Genomic DNA, 22168 nt, shown 5'->3' with positions numbered 1-22168 from the left:
ACTTAGGTTTTATCTACTTTATGACCTTGCAGTGGCATGGCAAAGGAGACAGGATCTCACAGGACTTTACAAAGTATGTTCACAAGGAATTGGAATGGGGAGTAGAGATAAGGTCCACTGGTCACAGAAAAACGGGCAGTTAACGTTCCCCAGTTTTGGGGAGGGGGAAGGAAGAGAGGGAGAGAGGATACAGGAAAACTTACAGCAAAATTTTTGCTGTTTATAGATTTCTTGGGGAAGAAAACACATTCACAAATCCTGGTGTTAGGACTATTTTAAGCATATATCTTCAATATTATTCATCCAGGACCAAAGCAGTCCTGATGCACAAAATGAGTGAGTTTCACAGCTTTCTGAGCCCGTACTCGACCCAGGAAGCCCAGCTGGCACCTCCTCTCAATTCTATGTCAGATTGGCCAGTAAGTTACTGCTTTCTGATTTCATTTAAATCTACTTTGCTAATAGTATTAGCAGCTCTATGTAGATAATTAAAAATATTTAAAATGGTTTGATTACTTTTGTTTGAAAAATAACCCAAAAAGGTTCAGAAAATATGATATAAATGAATATAACCCCATTAAAATGTGTTAGCTTATTATGTGAGTAAAGTCAGGACAGGTTGTGCCAGAGTGGGAGAAAAAAAACAATTATGTTTGCATTTTTAAATAAATGAAAACATAGAAAATGATTCTTAACTACTATATAATAGCCTAATGGCATTATTTTACTTTCTTTCTCCTTTTATCCTTTTTTCTTGACTTATTTTATGTACTAACATTTCCTTAGGCTATTTATGCTAATCTTAAGAGCACTAATTATTCAGAATTCTTATCTGACAAATGCACACTCACATACTATTTGTCTTTAGTCTTAGCAACATTTTAATGGTGATAAACAGAAATACTTCCAAGAGTAATTGACTGCCATTTTCGACTGCCATTTTCTAATTATGTTTTATTCTATTACTTGGCTGAAAAGATTTTTACTGATGCATAAAAAATATTCCAAAAGCAAGAGGCACGTTTTTAGTTATTTTATTGTCTTCTGTCAAAGGTTTGGTTTTTGTTTAAATCTACACACTTTGCTATTTTGGTGTCTAAACAAAGCCTTTGTTTCTAAGTAGTTGTAGATGTGATTAACACATTTTTTAAAATATTCACAGGGAAGGATTATGATAGTGAAGTTTTTTAAAAATTCTACTTTATTTTATAAACAGATTTTTATGATGCCCACACTTCATGGCAAGTATAAAGATTTTTTTAAAAGCTAAGTAATGTAAAATTAATTTCAGGTGTTTGAAAACATACCTTTCTTAAGATAATAAACAAAATAAATTAAAGAATGATTTATGTAATGATATAAGAATGTTTGGGACCATTAAAATTAAAATGACGTGTTTTTCATTTGTTTGTTTATGTATTTTTTCCCCATAAAACTAAGTTTAGTTGGATAAATTTTTCCTACTGATTGCTATTTTGAATTGAAACAAATTTTAAATAAGTGAATAGATTTTACAGATATTTATTTACTTGACGGTTAGTTACAAAAAATAATTTTCTTTCAAGTACATTATCCATTAATCACCAACATAAATGTACATTACTTAATCCATAGTCTTAATTCTAGACTAAGCATTAACATTAATATCAATGTTCTAGAGACCAGGTACATTATTTGTTGAAATTCCTAATTGAATATTAAGCTTGGCCTTTTAAAATTCATTTTTAAAAAACATACAAAACAGCATATTCAATACCAGCTGTATTCATGCAATGAGAATGTGATGGAGATCAAGAAAGCCAAAGGTTCTGCTTTCAAGGAGTTTATTTTTTCATGGGAGAAACCAACAAACATGTAAGAAAATAATAAAATTTTAAAGTGACTTCAGTTAGTGATAAATTCTATGAATTAAATTAAAAAATGATATGTAGCAGTAGGAAATAAATATTATTGCTTTGTAACTTGGTAAGTTATTCCTTAACAAGTAGCATCTGAGCTGAAACCTGAGTGAAGTTGTATTCCCAATTAGGTTAAAAGAAACCAAAGGCAAATTACCTTAAAAAAATAATGGGATCCTGGAGAAAAGGTCAACATATTTGCCTATTTTTGCTTTTGTTACCTGTGCTTTTAAAGTCTTACCCAAAAAATCTTTGCCCAGACCAACTTCCTGGAGTGTTTTTCCAACATTTTCTTCTCGTACCTACATGGTGTTGTTGCAGCTTTTTCACTCCCATAGTTCAGCAAGCAGGAGAGAGTGGTGCCCAGCTGCTTCACTTCTTCACTCCTATAGCTCAGCAAGTAGAAGGGCCTGACACCCATTGACTTCTTCACTCCTGTTGTTTGTCAAGTGGGAGGAAAGGTTAGAGCTCTTTTACTCCCACCACCCACAGCTCAGTGAGCAGAAGTGTTACAGCTCTTTTGCTCCCACAGTTTGGTGAATACTGGGTTCTTGTTCCACAACCAAAAGGACTAAGGTACGCAGACACTGAAGAGTGAGTAAGGCAGAGTAGAATATTATTGAGTGGCAGAAAGAAAGCTCTCAGCACAGAGAGGGGACCCAAAAGTGGGTTGTTGTCTCTGAGGCTGAGTGTGGGGTTTTTATGGGCTTAGAATGTGTTTGTCGAGTGGGAGGAAGGGTTAGAGCTCTTTTACTCCCACCACCCACAGCTCAGTGAGCAGAAGTGTTACAGCTCTTTTGCTCCCACAGTTTGGTGAATACTGGGTTCTTGTTCCACAACCAAAAGGACTAAGGTACGCAGACACTGAAGAGTGAGTAAGGCAGAGTAGAATATTATTGAGTGGCAGAAAGAAAGCTCTCAGCACAGAGAGGGGACCCAAAAGTGGGTTGTTGTCTCTGAGGCTGAGTGTGGGGTTTTTATGGGCTTAGAATGTGAGAATGTGTGCTGATTGGTCCATTGATGGTCTTGGAAAAAGCACTATTTGATTAGTTGAAAGGCATCATTCAGAAGGAACCAATTGAGAGAGAGAGTGGGTAAGATGGAAGATGGAAGTTCTCACTCTGGTCGTGGACTCTATCTGGAACTGGCAGCTCAGTTTTCAAACTTTGTATTGTCCTTGGCTTGAAGGTTGGGTTTTGCTAGGGACCCAACCCTGTCTGCCCAGGAATTTGTCTGTCTCCTGCTGCTATCAGTGTCAGGTCTTACATTAAGTTTTAATCCCTTTTGAGTTGATTTTTGCATATGGTAAAAAATAAATACGTAGTTTTATTCTTCTGCATATGGATATCCAGTTTTCCCAGCACCATTTATTAAAGATACTGTCTTTTCCCCAATATATGTTCTCAGCACCTTTGTCAAAAGTGAGTTGGCTGTAAATACATACATTTATTCCTTAGTTTTTGCTGGGGAAGGCATCAGAGCCCGATGGTGGGGAGTGGTTGGCTTGCAGGTAGTAAAAGAATTTACCAACAACAGTAAGGTTTGAAAAAGAAAGTTTTGTTAGATAGAAAGGACACTGCAGCAGAGTGCAGCAGGGTGCTTCAGCAAGAGGGGACTGAGCATGCTACAGTGGATTTTTCTTAGGTGTATTTATGGATCTGAAAGTAAGGAACTTAAGGGTAACTTGGACCATAAAAGTCACATAGGTCATGATAAATGATTGCATTTGTAGACATTTTGGTGCCTTGGTGACAGCAAGGGTTGCACAATGAGTTTTGACAAGTATGCATTCTGGAGATGTGTACAAATTCCAGTTACTTATACATTTTTAGGAAAGAAGCCTAGGACCAGATGCCAGCTTTAGATAATAGGGAAGTCAGATTACTTCTGAATTCCTCAGATAAGGAGTTTTGCCTGTGGATGGTCTGCTTGATGGCCACCAGGTGATGTTGGCTCTCCTTATTTCTCTATCCTGTTCCATTGGTCTATGTGTTACCGGGGAAAGCAGATGTCCCAGTTCTTATCTAACTTTGGATGAAAGATTTCAACCAAGGGGACAGTACAAAGATAAATAATTGTATTGAAAAAGAATATAGTGTAAAGAGCTTATTGTAGGAAAAATAGGTGCGTTTCAAGGGAGGAGTGGGCTGATCCAGCGAGAAAACCATACTGAGGGTCCTGTGCAGGGAGTTTTTATCATGTTGGACTTCAAATTTCCTCCTCTATCTCACATCTCTGCTGCTTTCCTTTGTTTAGTTTTCCTGCACCTGCCTAGTGCCCTCCCCCATGCTTCTGGGACCCTCTGTTACTATTTTGTTGGTGCACAAGTGTGGGCCCGTGTTGGATAAAAATCCTACATAGTGGCTGCATTGCTCATTACTGCCAACCCAGGAAGGTCATATAGCAGTTAAATATGTACTTACTATGCCTATGTATCTCCTTGGAACTTTTGTCTCTGTCCTAATTTGTACTTAGGTGCCAGGATTTTTTCCTTTTTTTTTTTTTTTTTTTTTTTTTAGGACTTTCTTGTTTTCCCTCTTATCAGCATTTACCTAGCTATATTTTCACAGGTTAACTGCAGAGTGAATGATTACTGGGCATCTTAATGGATGTCCTTTCTACCTAGCTATTTCATCAACTCTCTGCTTATATCTAGCATGCCTATGTAGGTGGTCCCTGTTGTGTGAGATTTTCCAGACCTCCCTTTTCTTAGGGGTTCCCCCTCCTGCTTATGTCTGGCTACCTGCCTACTCTAACATATGTGTCTGTTTTTGTGCCAGTACTATGTAATTTTGATTAGAATAGCTTCATTATATAATTTGAATCAGGTGATAAGATGCCTGCAGCATTGTTTTATTGTTGTTGTTGTTTTTTGCTCAGGATGACTTTAGGTATTTAGGTTTTTTAATGGTGTTATCAAGCTTTAGAATTGTTTTATCAATGTCATTTGGTATTTTGGTTGGGATTGCATTGAATCTGGAAATTGATTTGGGTAATGTGGACATTAAAAATATTAATTATTTCAATGCATGAACAGGGGATATATTTCCATTTTTGTGTTCTCTTCAATTTCTTTTATCAATGTTTTATAGTTTTACTTGAACACAAATTTTACTTCTTTAAAATACTTAGCTATTTTTTTTTCTGGCTATTGTAAATGGAAATGCTATCTTCATTTTTTTTAGGTTGAACGCTGTTAGCATATAGAAATATCACTTAATTTTTGTATGTTGATTTTATAACTTGCAATTTTGGTGAATCCATTTATCAGTTCTAACAGTTTTGTGGTGGAGTCTTTAGGTTTTTAAAATATAAGATTATGTTGTCTGCAAATAAGTATAATTTGACTTTATCTTCCAATTTGAATGCTGTTTATTTCTTTCTCCTACCGAATTGCTCTGGCTAGGACCTAAAGAACTATGTACAGTACAAATGGTGAAAATGGCATCCTTGTCTTGTTCTAGATCTTAGTGGAATGGCTTTCACTTATTCCCTGTTCAGTATGATATTATCTGTTTGACATATATGGCCTTTATCACGTTGTAGCATGTTCCTTTGATACCCAGTTCAGTGAGAGTTTTTATCATGAGTAAATGGTGAATTTTATCAAATGTTTTTTTAACATCTATTGAAATGATCATATGGTTTTTGCTCTTGATTCATTTGAGGTGATGTATCAGGTTTATTGATTTGTGTATGTTTCACCATTCTTGCATCTCTGAGATGAATTCCACTTGATCATGGTGAACAATGGTTTTAATATGGTATTGTATTTGGTTTGTTGGTATTTTGTTGAAGATTTTTTTCATTAAACTTCATCAGTGATATTGACATGTAGTTTTGTTTTACTATGGAGTAAAATAACTTTTAGATTTTCCTTCTTTTCAAATTATGAAAATAGTTTAACTGGTATTAGCTCTTTTTTAAATGCACAGACAACAAAAGCAGAAATAGAAAAATGTGATTATATCAAGCTAAAAAGCTTCCACACAACAAAAAATTTTAAAAAAATAACAAAGAGACAACCTACAAAATGGGAGAAAATATTTGTGAAATGTCTATCGGATAAGGCATTAATAATAAGAATATATAAGAAACTTAAACATCTCAGTAGCAAAACCAAACAAAAATAACAAATAATACAATTAAAAAATGGGCAAAATACCTAAATTGACATATGCCATAAGAAGACATACAAATGGTCAACAACTATATTTTTAAAAGCTCAACATCACTAATTATCAGACAAATGCAAATTAAAGCTACAATGAGATATCACCACCACAGTTAAAATGGCTATTATCAAAAATACAAAAAAATAACAAATGATGGCAAGGATGTAGAGAAAGGAAAATACTCTAACACTGTTGGTAGAAATGTAAAGTAGTAAGGCACTATGGAAGTGAGTATAAAGGTTCCTCAGAAAAACTAAAAATAGAACTACAATATGATCCAACAATTCCACTGCTGGTATATATCCAAAAAAAAAGAAGGAAATCAGTATATCAAAGAGATATCTGCAATCCTATGTCTATTGCAGCACTATTCACAATAGCCAAAATAATGTAATTAATGTGTGTCTATTAGTGGGTTAATGGGTAAAGAAAATGTGGAATATTATGTAGCCATAAAGAGAATGAAGTCCTGTCAATTTCAGCAACATCGGTGAAACTGGATATGATTAAATAACCCAGGCATGAAAAGAAAACAATACATGTTTTCCCTCATGTATGGGAGCTAAAAACATGTATTTTGTGACGTTAGAGTATAGAATGTTGATTACCAGAGGCTGGGAAGGGTAAACAGAAAGAGGGAATGAAGACAGGTTGGTTAACAGGTACAAAAATCAGTTAGAAGGAATAAGTTCTAGTATTTGATAATGCAGTAGGAAGACTGTAGTTCACAATAATTTATTATATATTTCAAAATAGATAGAAAAGAAGAATTGCAGTGCTCCCAACACAAAAGATAAATGTTTGAGACAATGGATATCCTAATTATCCTGATTTGATCATGGCACATTATATATATATATATCAAAATATCACATGCACCTCCCAAAATGTAGAACTATATCAATTAAAAAATAACAACACCTCAAAAAGATTAATGAGATAAAGAAACCCAAAATCTGTTTTTTACTTTTTTCTTTTGGGAAATTGATAACTGAGGAGGCATAAAGCTCAGAAGCCAAGTAGAAAGAAAAAAAGACCAGAGACTGTGGCAGTCTCACTGCCTATGGGAGATAGAATTTGGGTTTCAAAGTTACCAAGGCATCCATGTCTTAAGAACATAGTACCACCTTTTTAACCACAGGGAATATGTTTCAAGACCCTCAGTGGATGCCTAAAGCTGCAGACAGTGCCAAAGCCCATAAGTACTATGTTGTTTTTTTTTTTGTACATACCAATGATAAAGTGCAGTGTATTAATTAGACATAGTAAGATATTAACAGGAATAACTAACACAATAGAACATTTATAAAAATATGCCAAAGGCACTACTCATCTGTCTTGGGGGCCATTGTTAAGTAAAATAAGTGTTACTCAAACACAAGCACTGCAATACTGAGACAGTTGATGTGATAACCAAGACAGCTACTAAGTTACTAATGGGTAGGTAGTGTAGACAACAGGGATATACCAGACAAAGGAATGATTAACATCCTGAGCAGAACTAAGTCCTGCAGCTGAGATTTCATTAGACTACTCAGAACGGTGCACAATTTAAAACATGATTTTTTTCTGGAATTTTTAAATGTAGTATCTTTGTACTACGGTTGACTTTTAACTGAAACCATATTAAGCAAAACTGGGGATAGGAGTTATAAAAGAAAATGTGGAATAGATATACAATGAAATATTATGCAGCCTTTAAAAGAATAAATCTGTCACATGCAAAAACATGGATGAGCCAGGAGGGTACAATGCTAATTGAAATAAGCCAATCCCAGAAAGACATATAAATACTAATGATTCCACATGTGAGACATCTAAAATATCAGGTTGGTGCAATAGTCAAACTCAGAGTAGAATGGTTGTTGCCAAAGACTAGGGAGAGGAGAGATGGGGAGTTACTGTTCAATGGGAATGAAGTTTCAGTAAAGCAAGATGAATCTTATAGAGATCTGCTGACCATATTGTACCCATAGTTTAAAATACTGTACTGTACTTTCAAAGTTTTAAGAGGTTATATCTCATGTTAACTGTTCTTACAGCAATAATTTTTAAAAAAGAAAAAGAAAAGAGAGATGGACAGTCTTTGGAGACTTTTTTTTTTTTCGAGACAGAGTCTCATTTGTTTCATTTTTTGAGGCAAAGCCTTACTCTGTCACCCAGGCTGGAGTGTAGTGGCTCAATCTCCGCTCACTGTGGCTTCGACCTCCTAAGTCCAAGCAATCTTCCTGCCTCAAAATGATGAAAGAAAATGATGAATTCAGGGTTCTGTCTCCCAGCTTCAGAAGCAGATACTGAGCCTCAAATCTGCTAAGATTGCCCTGAGTGAGAGTCTTATCTCCTGTAGAGAAAGAACTAGAATTGTAGAAAATCAGACACAAGCTATTATCATGTGAGTGGCTGACCTGCAATGAAAGGTGCATGCACAGCCTTGCCAGGTGTCTACTGTTAAAGTGAGGGCATTGATTGGAAAAGAATGGGACCCTGAAACTTGGAATGGGGATGTGTGGGAGGACCCTTATGAAGCTGGGGACACTGAGTTTATAAACTCTAATGAACTTTTTTTGCCGGAAGGAACAGCTTCCCCATCCCAAGTAGTGGCAGCATCCCCTCCCTGACCCATGCTTCCATCAGCCTTTTCCACCTTTGTCTAAGGAGATAAACACGGCACTGTTTGAGGCAACAGCGATGCCCCCCAACTCTGAGGCACTTACCAGGCAAAATAATGTTGACTCTCCTCAAGAGCCACCCCCAACACCTCTGTTTGCTTCTAGACTTATAACTAGACTAAAGTCCCGGTGGGCCCCTTAGAGGTGAAGTTGAGAGTGTGACCAATGAAGAGGTATGCTACACTCAAAAAGAAGTGCTTGAGTTCTCTAACTTATATAAATAGAAATCTGGAAAAGAGCCGTGGGAATGGATATTAAGGGTATGGGATAATGATTAAAGGAACATTGAGTTGGATCAGGCTGAATTTATTGATTTGGGCCCACTAAGTAGGGACTCTTCATTTAATGTTGCAGATCAAGGAGTTAAAAAAGGTTCTAATAGTTTATTTGCTTGGTTAGCTGAAATATGGATTAGAAGATGGCCCACTGTGAGTGAGCTAAGAATGCCTGCTCTCCCTTGGTTTAATGTAGAGGAAGGGTTCCAAAGGCTTAGGGAGATTGGGAAGATGGAGTGGATTAGTCATTTTAGATCTACTCATCCCAGCTGGGAGGATCCAGAAGCTATTCCCCTGACCAATGCCTTACAAAATAGATCTGTGACAGCAGAACCTGCATCTCTGAATAGCCCTGTAGTTGCTGTTCTCTGTACGTCAGATCTAACAGTGGGAACTGCAGTCACTCAACTACAAAATTTAAATAGAATGGGAATGATTGGATCCTGAGGTGGCAGGGGCCAAGTGGTGGCACTCAACCATCAAAGGCAAGGTGGACGTAGCTACCATAATGGGCAGCAGAGACAAGGCAGCAATCAGAATAGTCTGACTCATGTAGTGCTCTGGCATGGGCTAATTAATCACGGTGTTCCTAGAAGTAAAATTGATAAGAAGCCTACTGCATTCCTACTTAATTTATACAAGGAGAAAACTTCTAGGTCGAATGACAAAAGGCTAATTTGAATTATAAAAACAGAGAATCACTGTCCCTCAATCAATTTGCAGACTTGAGCCAGTTTACAGACCCAGAACCCCTTGAATAAAGAAGAGGCCAAATCCTATTGAGAAAGGACCCCACTACATTACTGACAATTTATGCAGTGAAACTTTCTCTAATCATTCCCCCAAAGAGACCTCTGGCCTTTTACCAGGGTTACTGTGCACTGTGCCCACCAACGGGTGACCTCAGGAGAGGAGGATTTTAATAGTCAAGTGGATAGGATGACCCGTTCTGTGGATACCACTCAGCCTCTTTCCCCAGCCACCCCTGTCATTGCCCAATGTGCCCATGAACAAAGTGGGGGTGGCAGGGATGGAGATTATGTGTGGGCTCAGCAACATGAACTTCCATTCGCCAAGGCTGACCTGGTTACAGTCACTGCTGAGTGCCCAATTTGCCAGCAGCAGAGACCAACACTGAGCCCTCAATATGGCACCATTCCCCAGGGTGATCAGCCAGCTACCTGGTGGCAGATTGACTATATTGGACCTCTTCCACCATGGAAAGGGCAGAGGTTTGTCCTCGCTGGAATAGACACTTGGTAAGGGTGAAATCTAACTATTTAAACATAATTTTTACAAATTTATTAATGCACCTGCCTTCTTCACCCTCAAACTTGTCCCTTTAACCTTGTGTTCTAAAGAATATATTTGAGTTTTTCAATTAACTTTGAATTATTAGAAATAAGTTTAAAAATATCTTTACACAGCATTCCGGTGATAACTTTAACATATAAATCAGGAGATGTTATCCTCTGCTCAACATGCTCAAATGGCCTCTCACATTGCTCAGCGTAAAACCTAAAGTTCTAAGATGGCCCAGCCCCCAACTTCTGTGAGCACCCTTCCTTTGTCCTCTTTGGTCTCATCTTCATCTAATCATTTCCTTACTCCCTTACCTTCAAGCATATCAGCCTAGTTATACTTCACAAACTTTGCAACTGTCTCTTGCAAATATAGTTCCTTCTGCTGGAAAGCTTATTCCCCCAGAAAACTAGTTGCCTGGTTTACTTGCCTTTTTCCAGTTTTGCTCAACTGTTACCATCTCAATGAGGCCATCTCCGATTATACTAATCAATGCCATCACATAACACTCTCTATTTATTTCTCTGCTTCACCTCATAGTTTTCATTTTATCCTACATATATTGCTTATTTACTTCTATGTTGCCCATATCCATGCAGGTGTCAAAAATGAAATTAAGTGAGGAACAATTTAAAAGTTCATTGTCCAAAGAAAGACCGCTTTGTTAACTGGGAGACCTCAAACTGAACATGGTAAGAAGATCCACTCACAGCAGTGACAGCACAGTTACTAAAGCATAAAGAAGGAAATATTTTGACCTTTTTCATGATTGGCTGTTATATAGTAACATTCTTTTTAAGTCAAGCAGAGCTGTTTAAGCTGATTTGTCTATGGTTGATTGGTTTAATTTGACTAAATCATGCTGGCAGAAATGTAACACTTACATTTTGTGTTTTATTATGATTAGAGATAGCATTTCAAGGAAATCAGGATGACATGTTTTGGGTATGTGGCAATGTGTAGCTGGTATTGGGGTGTATCTTAACTGTAGCCTCCATTTTTATTTTTCTTTAACAAATATAATCTTTTGAAATTAGAAAATTCTGGCCAGGCACAGTGACTCATGCCTGTAATCCCAGCACTTTGGGAGGCTGAGGCAGGCGGATCACCTGAGGTCAAGAGTTTGAGACCAGCCTGGCCAACATGGTGAAACCCCATCTCTATTAAAAATACAAAAAATTAGCCGGGCGTGCTGGTGGGTGCCTATAATCCCAGCTATTCCAGAGGCTGAGGCAGGAGAATCGCTTGAACCCGGGAGGCCACGGTTGCAGTGAGCCGAGATCATGCCACTGCACTCTAGCCTGGACAACAAGAGTGAAATTCTGTCTCAGAAAAGAAAGAAAGAAAGAAATTGGAAATATCTGTCTTATTTATGCACTGTTGTGTTTTACCAATGAGAAGAGGGCTGGAGTTCAGGGACAGTCAATAAATATTGACAAGTGTATGACTGATTTCAGGTCGTGTTGAGATACACTAAAATTTGCAATATGAATTTTTAACAATTGCTTAATAACTTTATTTAAATACCCTGGACATGTGGTTCACGCTTGTACTTTCAGCACCTTGGGAGGTGGAGGTGGGAGAATCTCTTGAGCCCAGGAGTTACAAGCTGCAGTGAGCTTTGATCATGTCACTGTGCTCCAGCCAGGGTGACAGAGTGAGACCTTCTCAAACAAACAAACAAACAAACAAAAACTTTATGAAAATATAACATGCTAAAGTTTTTTCAGTGCTGTTGTTTTGGTTTTCTTGTTAAAAGGGGTGAGGTTTTAAAACAATACAAAATCTATGTGAGTCTTAGGATGACAATTTGCTAACTCTAATGTAGACAGTCTAAAATTCCATTTAAAGTTCAATTAGAAAAACAATTCTCAGAAACGAAGTCCAAAAGAAGTCATAAATTGAATAAATATCTGAGAAGTTAATAAGTTAATAAAATAAGTATCACCAAAATAAGCCCCAGACTTTTATGTAACAAGGTAAATTTGATCAAATTTTCAGGAAGAGTTAAGTCTAATGTCATTTAATTCATTTGAGGTAATGTAGTGATATATAATTACATAAAATTCAGAAATATATTTATTGAAACCTTAAACAATTAACAACCATACTAAAAAAAACTACAGAATTCCATTATGAATACATATCTACTAAAATATGACAACTAATATATAATACACTAAAAAAATTATTCCAAGGATATCGTTTCAGAATATTAATAAAATTAAATAAATTACTATGTAAGAGAAAGACTAGAAAGTTTTTTCAAAGATAAAAAAGATATTGAATATAGTTTAACGTTGATTATTACTAAGAATAATATTAGATTGGTGCAAAAGTAAGTGTGATTTACACCATTAATTTTTATTTATTTTTTTTATTTGAGACAGAGTCTCACTCTGTTGCCTAGGCTGGAGTGCAATGGCTCAATCTCTGCTCACTGCAACCTCTGCCTCCCGGGTTCAAGCAATTCTCATGCCTCAGCCTCTCGAGTAGCTGGGATTACAGGCACCTGTCATTAAGCCCGGCTAATTTTCATATTTTTGTAGAGATGGGCTTTCACCATGTTGGCCAGGCTGGTCACGAACTCCTGACCTCAAGTGATCTGCCTGCCTCGGCCTCCCAAAGTGCTGGGATTACAGGCGTGAGCCACCGTGCCTGGCCCTACACCATTACTTTTAATGGCAAAAACCACCATTACTTTTGCACCAACCTAATACCAATTATAAAGTAGAAATGAATTAATGCCTCTATATCATGATTATCAATTTGGTTTACTTGGTTGCAAAATTTATAATCTACATTTGACCAAGTTAAGTAAAAAATAAATATGTTGAAACTAAACAGTATTTGATAATACTGGAGAGAATAGAGATCAATCCTTGGAAGCAAAACAAGAAACATTTTAGGAATTAAGGCAACTTGGGGCAGTGTAGTCCACAAGGACATCTTCTACTGCATTCACTTTATTGTATCACGCCATTTGAGATCAGCATCTTAAGAAAGATGAGGTCATTAGTTTAGCTTCAGTCATGAATATCTCACTTGGAGAGAGTAAAGCAGAGCATCTTTATTATAATCTTACTAGTACTTCAAACTTTGGTGAAAAGGTAGTTTCTCAAATTGAAATTTGTATGTCCTGAAAAGATTAAAAAAAATACTACAAACTTTCTATAGTCTATGTCAATTCATTGTAATATGTACACACACACACACACACACACACACACACGCACACCACTTTCTAACCAATTTGGACAAATTCTTAAATTTTCCTTCCTAAGTAGAATATCCCATAAAAGCCCCAAATATATTTTTAAAAATTTCCAAAATGCTTTAATACCATCTCCAACATCAGCTAGGTCATCATTTCAGTTTCATGTTTCAGATATCTGGCTCTGATGACCATTTTGGCTCTAGTTTGGTATTTTCTCTGCAATCATCCTTTCTAAATCTTGACATACACTATAATTTTGATTACCATTATCACATTTTATACATAAGAGCAAGGGGATAAAATAATCAATAGAAAGAAATTATTTGAAATAGGTAAATTTATATGGCACAAAAAATAAAATATGGTTTAATACCTCAATTTATTTCTGTAACTAATCATAAGGGTTTTATTGACATTTATGACTTTTCTTTCCCTACCACCCATTCTACACATTCTTTGCTATCAGCGAGTTGCCTAATAGTGTGACTTAAATCTTATAATTAAGGAACAGAGACTTTTGGTTTTGCTTTGGTTTTCTGAGGCCTATATGGAGGTTTACAAGGATTTTATTATTTTAAACCATATGGACAAGTACAAGAGGTACTACAGAGAATCCCCAGGGTTCTATACATACTCCTGGTTTCCACTGCACCTTTGTCCAGCGGTCACCTTATTTTCCCTCAACGGTCAAGATCAATTACCCCAGTAATAAAGTGAACTATTTTTGTTAGTTTGTTCAGTTGCACAAGGAACCCCAGATAAACCCCAGCTTGTGATCCAGTGGTGACAGCTAAACCTTCAATTCAGCAGAACCCAGAATCACCAGGAAGAGAACATACCCTCCCGCAAAACATTCAGTTTATTATGGAAAATCGAATCTCAAATTCCACCCATTCACTTTCAAATTAGTTGCTACAAGTGACTCATGAACAATCCTGTTTAAAAATTCTCAGACCTATCAGGTCTATTTACTTATAATGCTTTTGAACACAATACCTCAAGATTTATGCTGTTTCATTACCATGTTATAATTTGGTTAAGTTATAACAAGGGAATAGAGTAGAGGCAAGTGTTATGGTTTAGTCTGCGTAACTTAATGAGAGTATTTGCTCCTTTAATGCATGCATATTATTATGCCTCATATAAGAAAAAAATATATCTAATTGAACCTTTTCTTTGTAATGGTTTTGGATATAGAAGATGAAGTCAGTTCTGTGTATTGCTCTGAGGCAACAGAGTAAGCCTGCCCCTAATGTTTATAATAAGAAGTAAATAGAATTAGACTCTGTCACTGTGATAATTTTGATTATTTCAGATAGAGGAGATTCTACTGTATGAGAAGCAAGGTCCATATAACTACCATTTATGTCTTTTTTCCTTTTAAAAACAGAGGGAATCAAATCATGAGAGGGGTTTCACAAAGTCTCTTAAGAGTAGGGTTTTACTAGGAAAGAAAATTTTAAAAAAATAATATTTTCTCAAAACATAATAATAAATAATATTTTCTGAATTATATTCAATATTCTATTGGATGTCACCCAAAAAAGCCTGCTTCTCATGCTGCTGTGAAGAGATATCCAAGATGGGGTGATTTATCAAGAAAAGAGGTTTAATTGATTCACAGTTCCAAGGAGCTGGGGAGACGTCAGTAAACTTAACAATCATGGTAGAAGACACCTCTTCACCGAGCAGCAGGAGAGAGAATGAATGCCAGCAGAGGAGATGCCAGATGCTAATAAAACCTTCAGATCTCATGAGAACTCACTCAGTATCACCATAACAACATGGGGGAAACTGACCCCATGATTCACTCATTTCTCACCAGGTCCTTCCCATGACATATGGAGATTATGAGAACTACAGTTCAAGATGAGATTTGGGTGAGGACACAGCCAAACCATATCAGAGCATTTTAACAAATGTTTTTCTCTCATTCCTTTGGTCACTTATATAAAGTATCCATCATCACCAAGTAAATGAAGCCTAACTGAATATTGAACAAAAATTTTATACACTAGTTATATATTATGCCTATGGAAGAAAATTATATATTCTTGTTTATGGTACAGAAAACAAAAAAACTGGACAGATTAACACCTCAATTTTGCAAGATATTGTCTAATAGTTTTCATCATAAATTAGCCTTCAACAGTGCATCTGACCTACTTTAAGATAAATTTCTTTTTATAATAGATGGTATAGAAAGATGTGAAATTCTTAGGTTTTAGCTAATTTCTTACTGTTTACACAGTAAATTATGGTATTCAAAGAAATAATGGAATATTGTGATGTTGTATAAGACATTTAGTAAATCAGTGGAGGCTGGTGCTAGAAAAGGTCTTGTGAATAGTAAACTGAAATGAAAACCCTCATATTTCAGTGAGGACAATTATTGCATATCCAACATTCTGCAATCGATAAAATTAGCCTGTCTCTAATGAACTGGCATGGTTTCCATTGGTTTAACAAAGATACCCTGGGAATACAGACAAGATTCTCCATGCCCAGAAAAAGTGAAAGATGAGAAAGTTAGAGAGTAAATCTGAAGGAGTAAGCTGAGGACATCTAAAACACATCTATGGCTTTCTATTTATTTTTATTTTACTATATTTTTCTACTATTTTCTTATTTTATTCCTTTCCTGGCTCTTTCTGCATTAATCAAATTTAGTTGGTCTCACTTTTTCTCTATAGTTATTTGCTCCAATTTTGAGAGTAGTTAACTTTTAACTCCTTCAAAAAACATGTTTACCTTTTAATGATCACTCACACTTCCCTTTGGTAAACCAAGTGAAGATGAAGAGTAGATAAATTAGCACTCATCCAATCCACCTTCAAGGGACCCAAATTACACGTATGTAAATGGAAAATCTGACAGTACAATTTCTTTGAGAGAACATATTTTTTAAAAAATAATAAGTAGTTTTATCTGGTTGAAGTAATTGTTGTACCTGAGTGAGTTAGAGAAAACTCACACTTTGAGATGAATTAAGAGTCCGTTTATTTAGCCGGTGGCCAAGAGATGACTAACGCTCAAAATTCTCTCGACCCTGAAGAAGGGGCTAGATTTTCTTTTATACTTTGGTTTAGAAGAGAGAAGCAGGGTCTAGTTAAAACAATTTTACAGAAATAAAGTAGGCAAAAAGTTAAAAGGATAGATGGTTACAGGAAAGCAAACAGTTCCAGGTGCAGGGGCTTTAAGACTATTACAAGGTGATAGACTCGGGGCTTTGGGCATTATCAATCAGACGAATTCCTGGGAATTGTGGATATTGCTCGCCACAGTATCTTATCAGTTAATTGCATTCTTGGATGTGCTGGGAGTCAGCTTGCACAAGTTAAGTCCTTGAGGAAGGGGCTGCCAGTGAAAGAGCCAAGATGGAGTCTGTCCGGCTCTCTTAGCTAAGGGATAGTCAATTCAGGTGGAAACAAGGCTGGGTGATTAAAGGAAAGGGAGAGTCTGAAAACAGGGTTAGTAAAAATGAGGTTGGGCATTACATAATGAAGTGATGAAGGCAAGGTTGCTAGAGATAAGATAATTAAATAGCTGAAATACTTACTTGAAAAGACACGTTTTCCTTATTCATATATCATTACATGGACATGTAAGTTGATTTAACATTATGGCTATTGTGAATTCTACTGCAATATGCATGGATATACAGATGTGTCTTCAACATACTGATTTCAGTTCTTTGGCTATACACCCAGTAATGGGATTGCTGAATCATATGGTAGTTTTATTTTTAGTGTTTTGAAGAAACATCATACTGTTTTCCGTAATGACTGTACTAATGTACATTCCTAACAACGATGAATAGGTGATCTCTATTTTTCTGTATTCTTATGAGCATTTTAAATCTTTTGTCTTTTCTTAATATTAGCCATTCTAATTGAAATGAAGTGAGGATTATTGAAATAAGGCCTTAACAGAACAGGCCACAAAATCAAAAATAGACAAATGGGATTACATCAAGCTAAAAAGCTTCTGAATGTCAAAGAAAACAATCAATAAAATGAAGACACGACCTAAATAATGTGAGAAAGTACTTGCAAACTAAGCATCTGTCATTGGGTTAATTTCCAGAATATATAAGAAACTCAAACAACTCAATAGCAACAAAACAATCTGATTTTAAAATGGGCAAAAGAACTAAATAGACATTTCTCAAAAGAAGACATGCAAATTTTCAATGTACATAAGAAAAAAATGCTCAACATCGTTAATCATCAGAGAAATGCAAATCATAACCACAATGAGCTAATTTGATATTTCAACAGAATCCCTGAGAGTCAAGTATGAAGTATAGACATCATATTCACTTTAAAGAAAAATAAACTTAGAGATTGTCTGAGGCAAGCTTGGACTGCTATAACAAAATACCATAGAAGGGCTGACTTAAAAACAGATTTTATTTCTCACAGTTCTGGAGGCTGGAAGTCTGAGGTCAGGGTGCCAGCATGGTTGGGTTCAGGTGAGGTCTTTCTGGCATGTATATGGCCAACTTCATGCTGCATCCTTATATGGCATAGAGGGAGAGCTCTGGTTGCTACTCTTTTTCTTATAAAGAAACTAATCCCATCATGGGGGCCCCATCATCATGACCTCATCTAAACTTAATTAGCTCTCAAAGGCCCCATCTCCAATCACCATCACTTTGGGGGTTTGGAGTTTAATAAATGGATTTGGGGGAGGACATAAATATTCTGTCTAAAACAAATAGGCTAAATCACTTTTATTTACTTTTTGAAGTCTTGCTTGTGTATTCAAGAAAGCATAGTTTTACATTCTTTAGTTCCAAATTTACTATGCTATTTAGTGATCTTTCATGCAATGTTGATATTATCAAATGTAATATTCTAGAAAATTAAGTCTGTCAAGTGGAATTTACTGCCAATATTTGTTTCTACACACACCCAATAGTAGGATACCTTATGTTAAAAATTATAATTCTTCAATACTCAATAGTAGGATACCATATATTAACAATTATAATTCTTCAATATTTTTAATTTTTAGTTGTCTGTTTCTTTTAATATACTTGGGCATTTTTAGAAGTTAATAATCTAAATAAAATCCATGTATTAATTTGAACATTTATTAAATATAACCCATATACCTTACTAACAATTTACTGTGACCAAATCTGATTTTTACTCTAAAAAAAAATAAGTAGATAGCTAGGGAGACAAAATACTAGGAAAACATGGTTAAAATTGTGACCTGATATTCAGTCATTCAACAATGAAGCATTAAGTTATAAGCAAAATGCCATACAGAATGGCGTATTAGTCCTTTCTCACTTTGCTAATAAAGACATACCTGAGACTGTGGAATTTATAAAGAAAAGAGGTTTAATTGACTCACAGTTCAGTATGGCTGAGGAGGCCTCAGGAAACATTCATCATGGTGGAAGGGAAAGCAAACACGTCCTTCTTTGCAGCAGCAAGGAGAAGTGCTGAGAAAAAAGAGGGAAAAGATCCTCATAAAACTATAAGATCTCGTGAGAACTCAATCATTATCATGAGAACAGCATGGAGGTAACTGCTGCATGATTCAATTACCTCCCACATGGTCCTGTCCATGACATGTGGAGATTATGGGAACTACAGTTCCAGATGAGATTTGGGTGGGGACACAACCAAACCATATCAGCTGGTAAAGTGAAATGGTGTTGCTGAGCCTGCTCACTAAACATCTGAAATATATCAACTAAAATTTTGTCGAATTACAAAGGAATTAAGTGAAGAGGTTAAAGAGACTGCTAGCTATACCTAAATTGTTACAAATAAATTTCCATATCACAGTGAAATATATACAATAAAATTTAGGCCATATTTTTTTTTTCCTGCAGAAGTCTTCTATAATCTAATGGGATAAACACAAACATAAGAAGACAATTTTAAGGAAAATAGTTTATTATCTTGATTTTATAAAAGGATTTCCTGCTGAAATCACACATAATAAATTATGTTATATGTTTTAAGAGGCTTCAAGTACTCTTTGTGTGTCTGAATAAAGCTTGAAATAAAAATTATTGAGATTATGTTGAAAGCTATGTTATGTTCAGTGACTCTCAGATGCTGTTCTGCTCTGACCTGAGTGTTGTAACAAATGCAGGTCCAATTATTATTATATCTCCATGTAATTGATTTTGTACATAATGTAATTTCCTCCATTTCCTATTTAGCTGGATTTTATTTTCATAAGATATTTTAGAATCAAATAATTCAATTAAAGCTCCTTATTGGTAAACAGAACTAATAGGGACTGTTCTATTAAGAAAAATTTACATACTAGCGAGAAAAACTTCCAAAATGATTACAGAGCATTGAGAAGACAAGGCATTGTGAAGTTTCCTTTTATAATAGAATTACTATATTAAATAGAACCTATTATATACACTGAATCACCAATTCATTTTAAAAGTAAATTGGATCTGACAGTAGTATGAAGAATCCATACTACTGTCATACATAAATAGTATCATACATAAATAGTTTTCTTTCAAATGAGGGTCTTAAGGGAAAAATCAATATCTGTGGTATTCTTGGAAATTTAAAAATTATTAACCTTAAAATAATGACCTATTCAAAGAAACAATAAAATAAGTTAATATTCACATGGAATTAGGCTAATTTTACATCATAGATTATTATATTTTTCTTCCTAGATTTGGTAACTCTGAAATATTGCCTGTTTTAAAAGGAATTAAAAATATTTTCATCTACATTCTGAGGCTTTCATTTTCATTACAACATTGCTTGGCAATTCAGTCTTTAGCAATGGGAGAGAAATTAGAAAAAAAGACCAACAAGGTAAATATACATTATTTTTATAAGTCAGTTGTATAAGGTTGGTTATTACCCTGACATTGCTAATATTCATTAATACATAACCTTATTAAATTGAAGAACAGTAAATTGACAAATTCCTCAAAGGTATCTATCAAGTTTTAGCCTAAATAATTTTTATATGGCTGTACTAAACACTGAAATGTGTCTTCAGTGGAGATTCTCACATTACACTTAAAAAGGTAATTTTAAAATAAGTTGTCATAATAAATTATTTTTTTGTAACTAATGGAACCAGTTGATTCCAATTAAATTACTCCGGCTCTTTCACCAAAACTCATTCGCCCTTCAAAAATGTGTTATTTAAAGCCCTTCAATATTAGTTGATAATAGTGTTAAGTTGCGACACATGTCCTGATTTTAAAATAGAATAGTGTCACTAGAGCCAATTCCTTTTTTCTTTCTTTATTATTTATTTATTTATTTATTTATTCATCTATTTATTGAGATAAGGTCTGGCTCTGTCACCCAGGCTGGAGTGCAGTGGCCCAATCTTGGCTCACTGCAACCTCAGGCTTTTGGGCTCACAGCATCCTCCCACCTTAACCTCCCAAGTAGCAGGGACTACAGGCTGTGCTGCCACATCAGCTAACTTTTGTTTGTTTGTTTGTTGTTGTTTTTTTTTTTAATAGACAGGGTCTCACTTTTTTCCAGGCTGCTGGTCATGAACTCCTGAGCTCAAGCTGTCCACCCACTTTGGCCACTCAAAGTGCTGAGATTACAGGCATGAGCTGCTGCACTCAGCCAGTAGATTTGTGTTCCAAAATCACAAAAATAGTTTCCATATTTAGGGTTGCTGCAATTAATGTAAATTTTAACCTGAATAATAAAGTGTTTGGTGATTTTTATACATATTGAAATATAGCATATGATAATTTAATTAAAAAGGCCCAGCTCTACTACTTCACCGTGGAAGTTTTGGACATTATTCATATTACATATTGAAAATAGGTAACAGTTAAGATCCTGGAAGTCTGTGACACCTGGATCTACTGGGCAAAACATTTAAGTAATATAAAGTGTTAAATAATCTAATAAACGCTCTTTGATACAATTTTTACAAACTTTCTCTAGTAAATATTATCTTGTAAGTAAACTATAGTCCTTGAAGTCTAGTTTATTACTCAATTTGAGTTGGGATCCTTTTATAAAAATCATCTAGATTCTCACAAAAGTTAACTAGTTTTCTAATAAAATAGGTACAGAAGGCATTAGCATAACACTATGAAATTTTAGGTACTGTTGTGATCGACATTCATGTTGACTCAGACACTTTTCTCTATCCATTAGTGTATTGTTAAATAGAGATTAAAACATACAATGAGCTGTTGTTAAGGAAAAAAATATATAAGCATGCTATTTTTTCCTCATGATTAAAGAATTCAGCTGCTAAACCAAGAAGAAACAAAAAATATCACTCAAGATACATTTTAGAAATTATAAATGCCATAAACTTTCAATGAGTGTAATATATGGACACAACTTAATAAGAAGATTCTTTTAGTTTGCAGACCAATACAAAAAAAAGAAAGGAAAAAACGATGATTTCTTGATTGCAATTCACAGGAGGCATTTTTCCTAGCGTTCTAATTGTTATCCTTTGTCTGCATAGTAAGTGATTTCATTAACTCTGAAATAGCATACTATTCAAAAGTAGCTCCTAAGGCTCTGAATTTATTGATGATTTCCTTCCAAAACTGTTATGACTCACTTGAAAGAGAGTGTTTTGTTCATACAGAATATTGAGTCAAAAAAAATTTTGGAGTATGTTAACATAA

The 22168-nt window shown here is 35.3% G+C and overlaps 1 long non-coding RNA gene across 1 annotated transcript in view; it reads left to right on the top strand.

Annotated features, from left to right (window-relative positions):
- The first annotated feature begins 395 nt into the window (after positions 1–395).
- The window catches only part of LOC105370285 (uncharacterized), a 39671-nt gene continuing 17898 nt past the window's right edge, over positions 396–22168 (top strand). Inside the window, exons 1-2 of the long non-coding RNA XR_001750062.1 lie at positions 396–419; positions 10919–11011. This is a non-coding gene — a long non-coding RNA (uncharacterized LOC105370285). The remainder of the gene's footprint in view (positions 420–10918; positions 11012–22168) is intronic.

Source organism: Homo sapiens, chromosome 13, assembly GCF_000001405.40.
Source record: "Homo sapiens chromosome 13, GRCh38.p14 Primary Assembly".
Taxonomy (NCBI): domain Eukaryota; kingdom Metazoa; phylum Chordata; class Mammalia; order Primates; family Hominidae; genus Homo; species Homo sapiens.
This window is presented reverse-complemented; position numbering and strand designations above follow the sequence as displayed.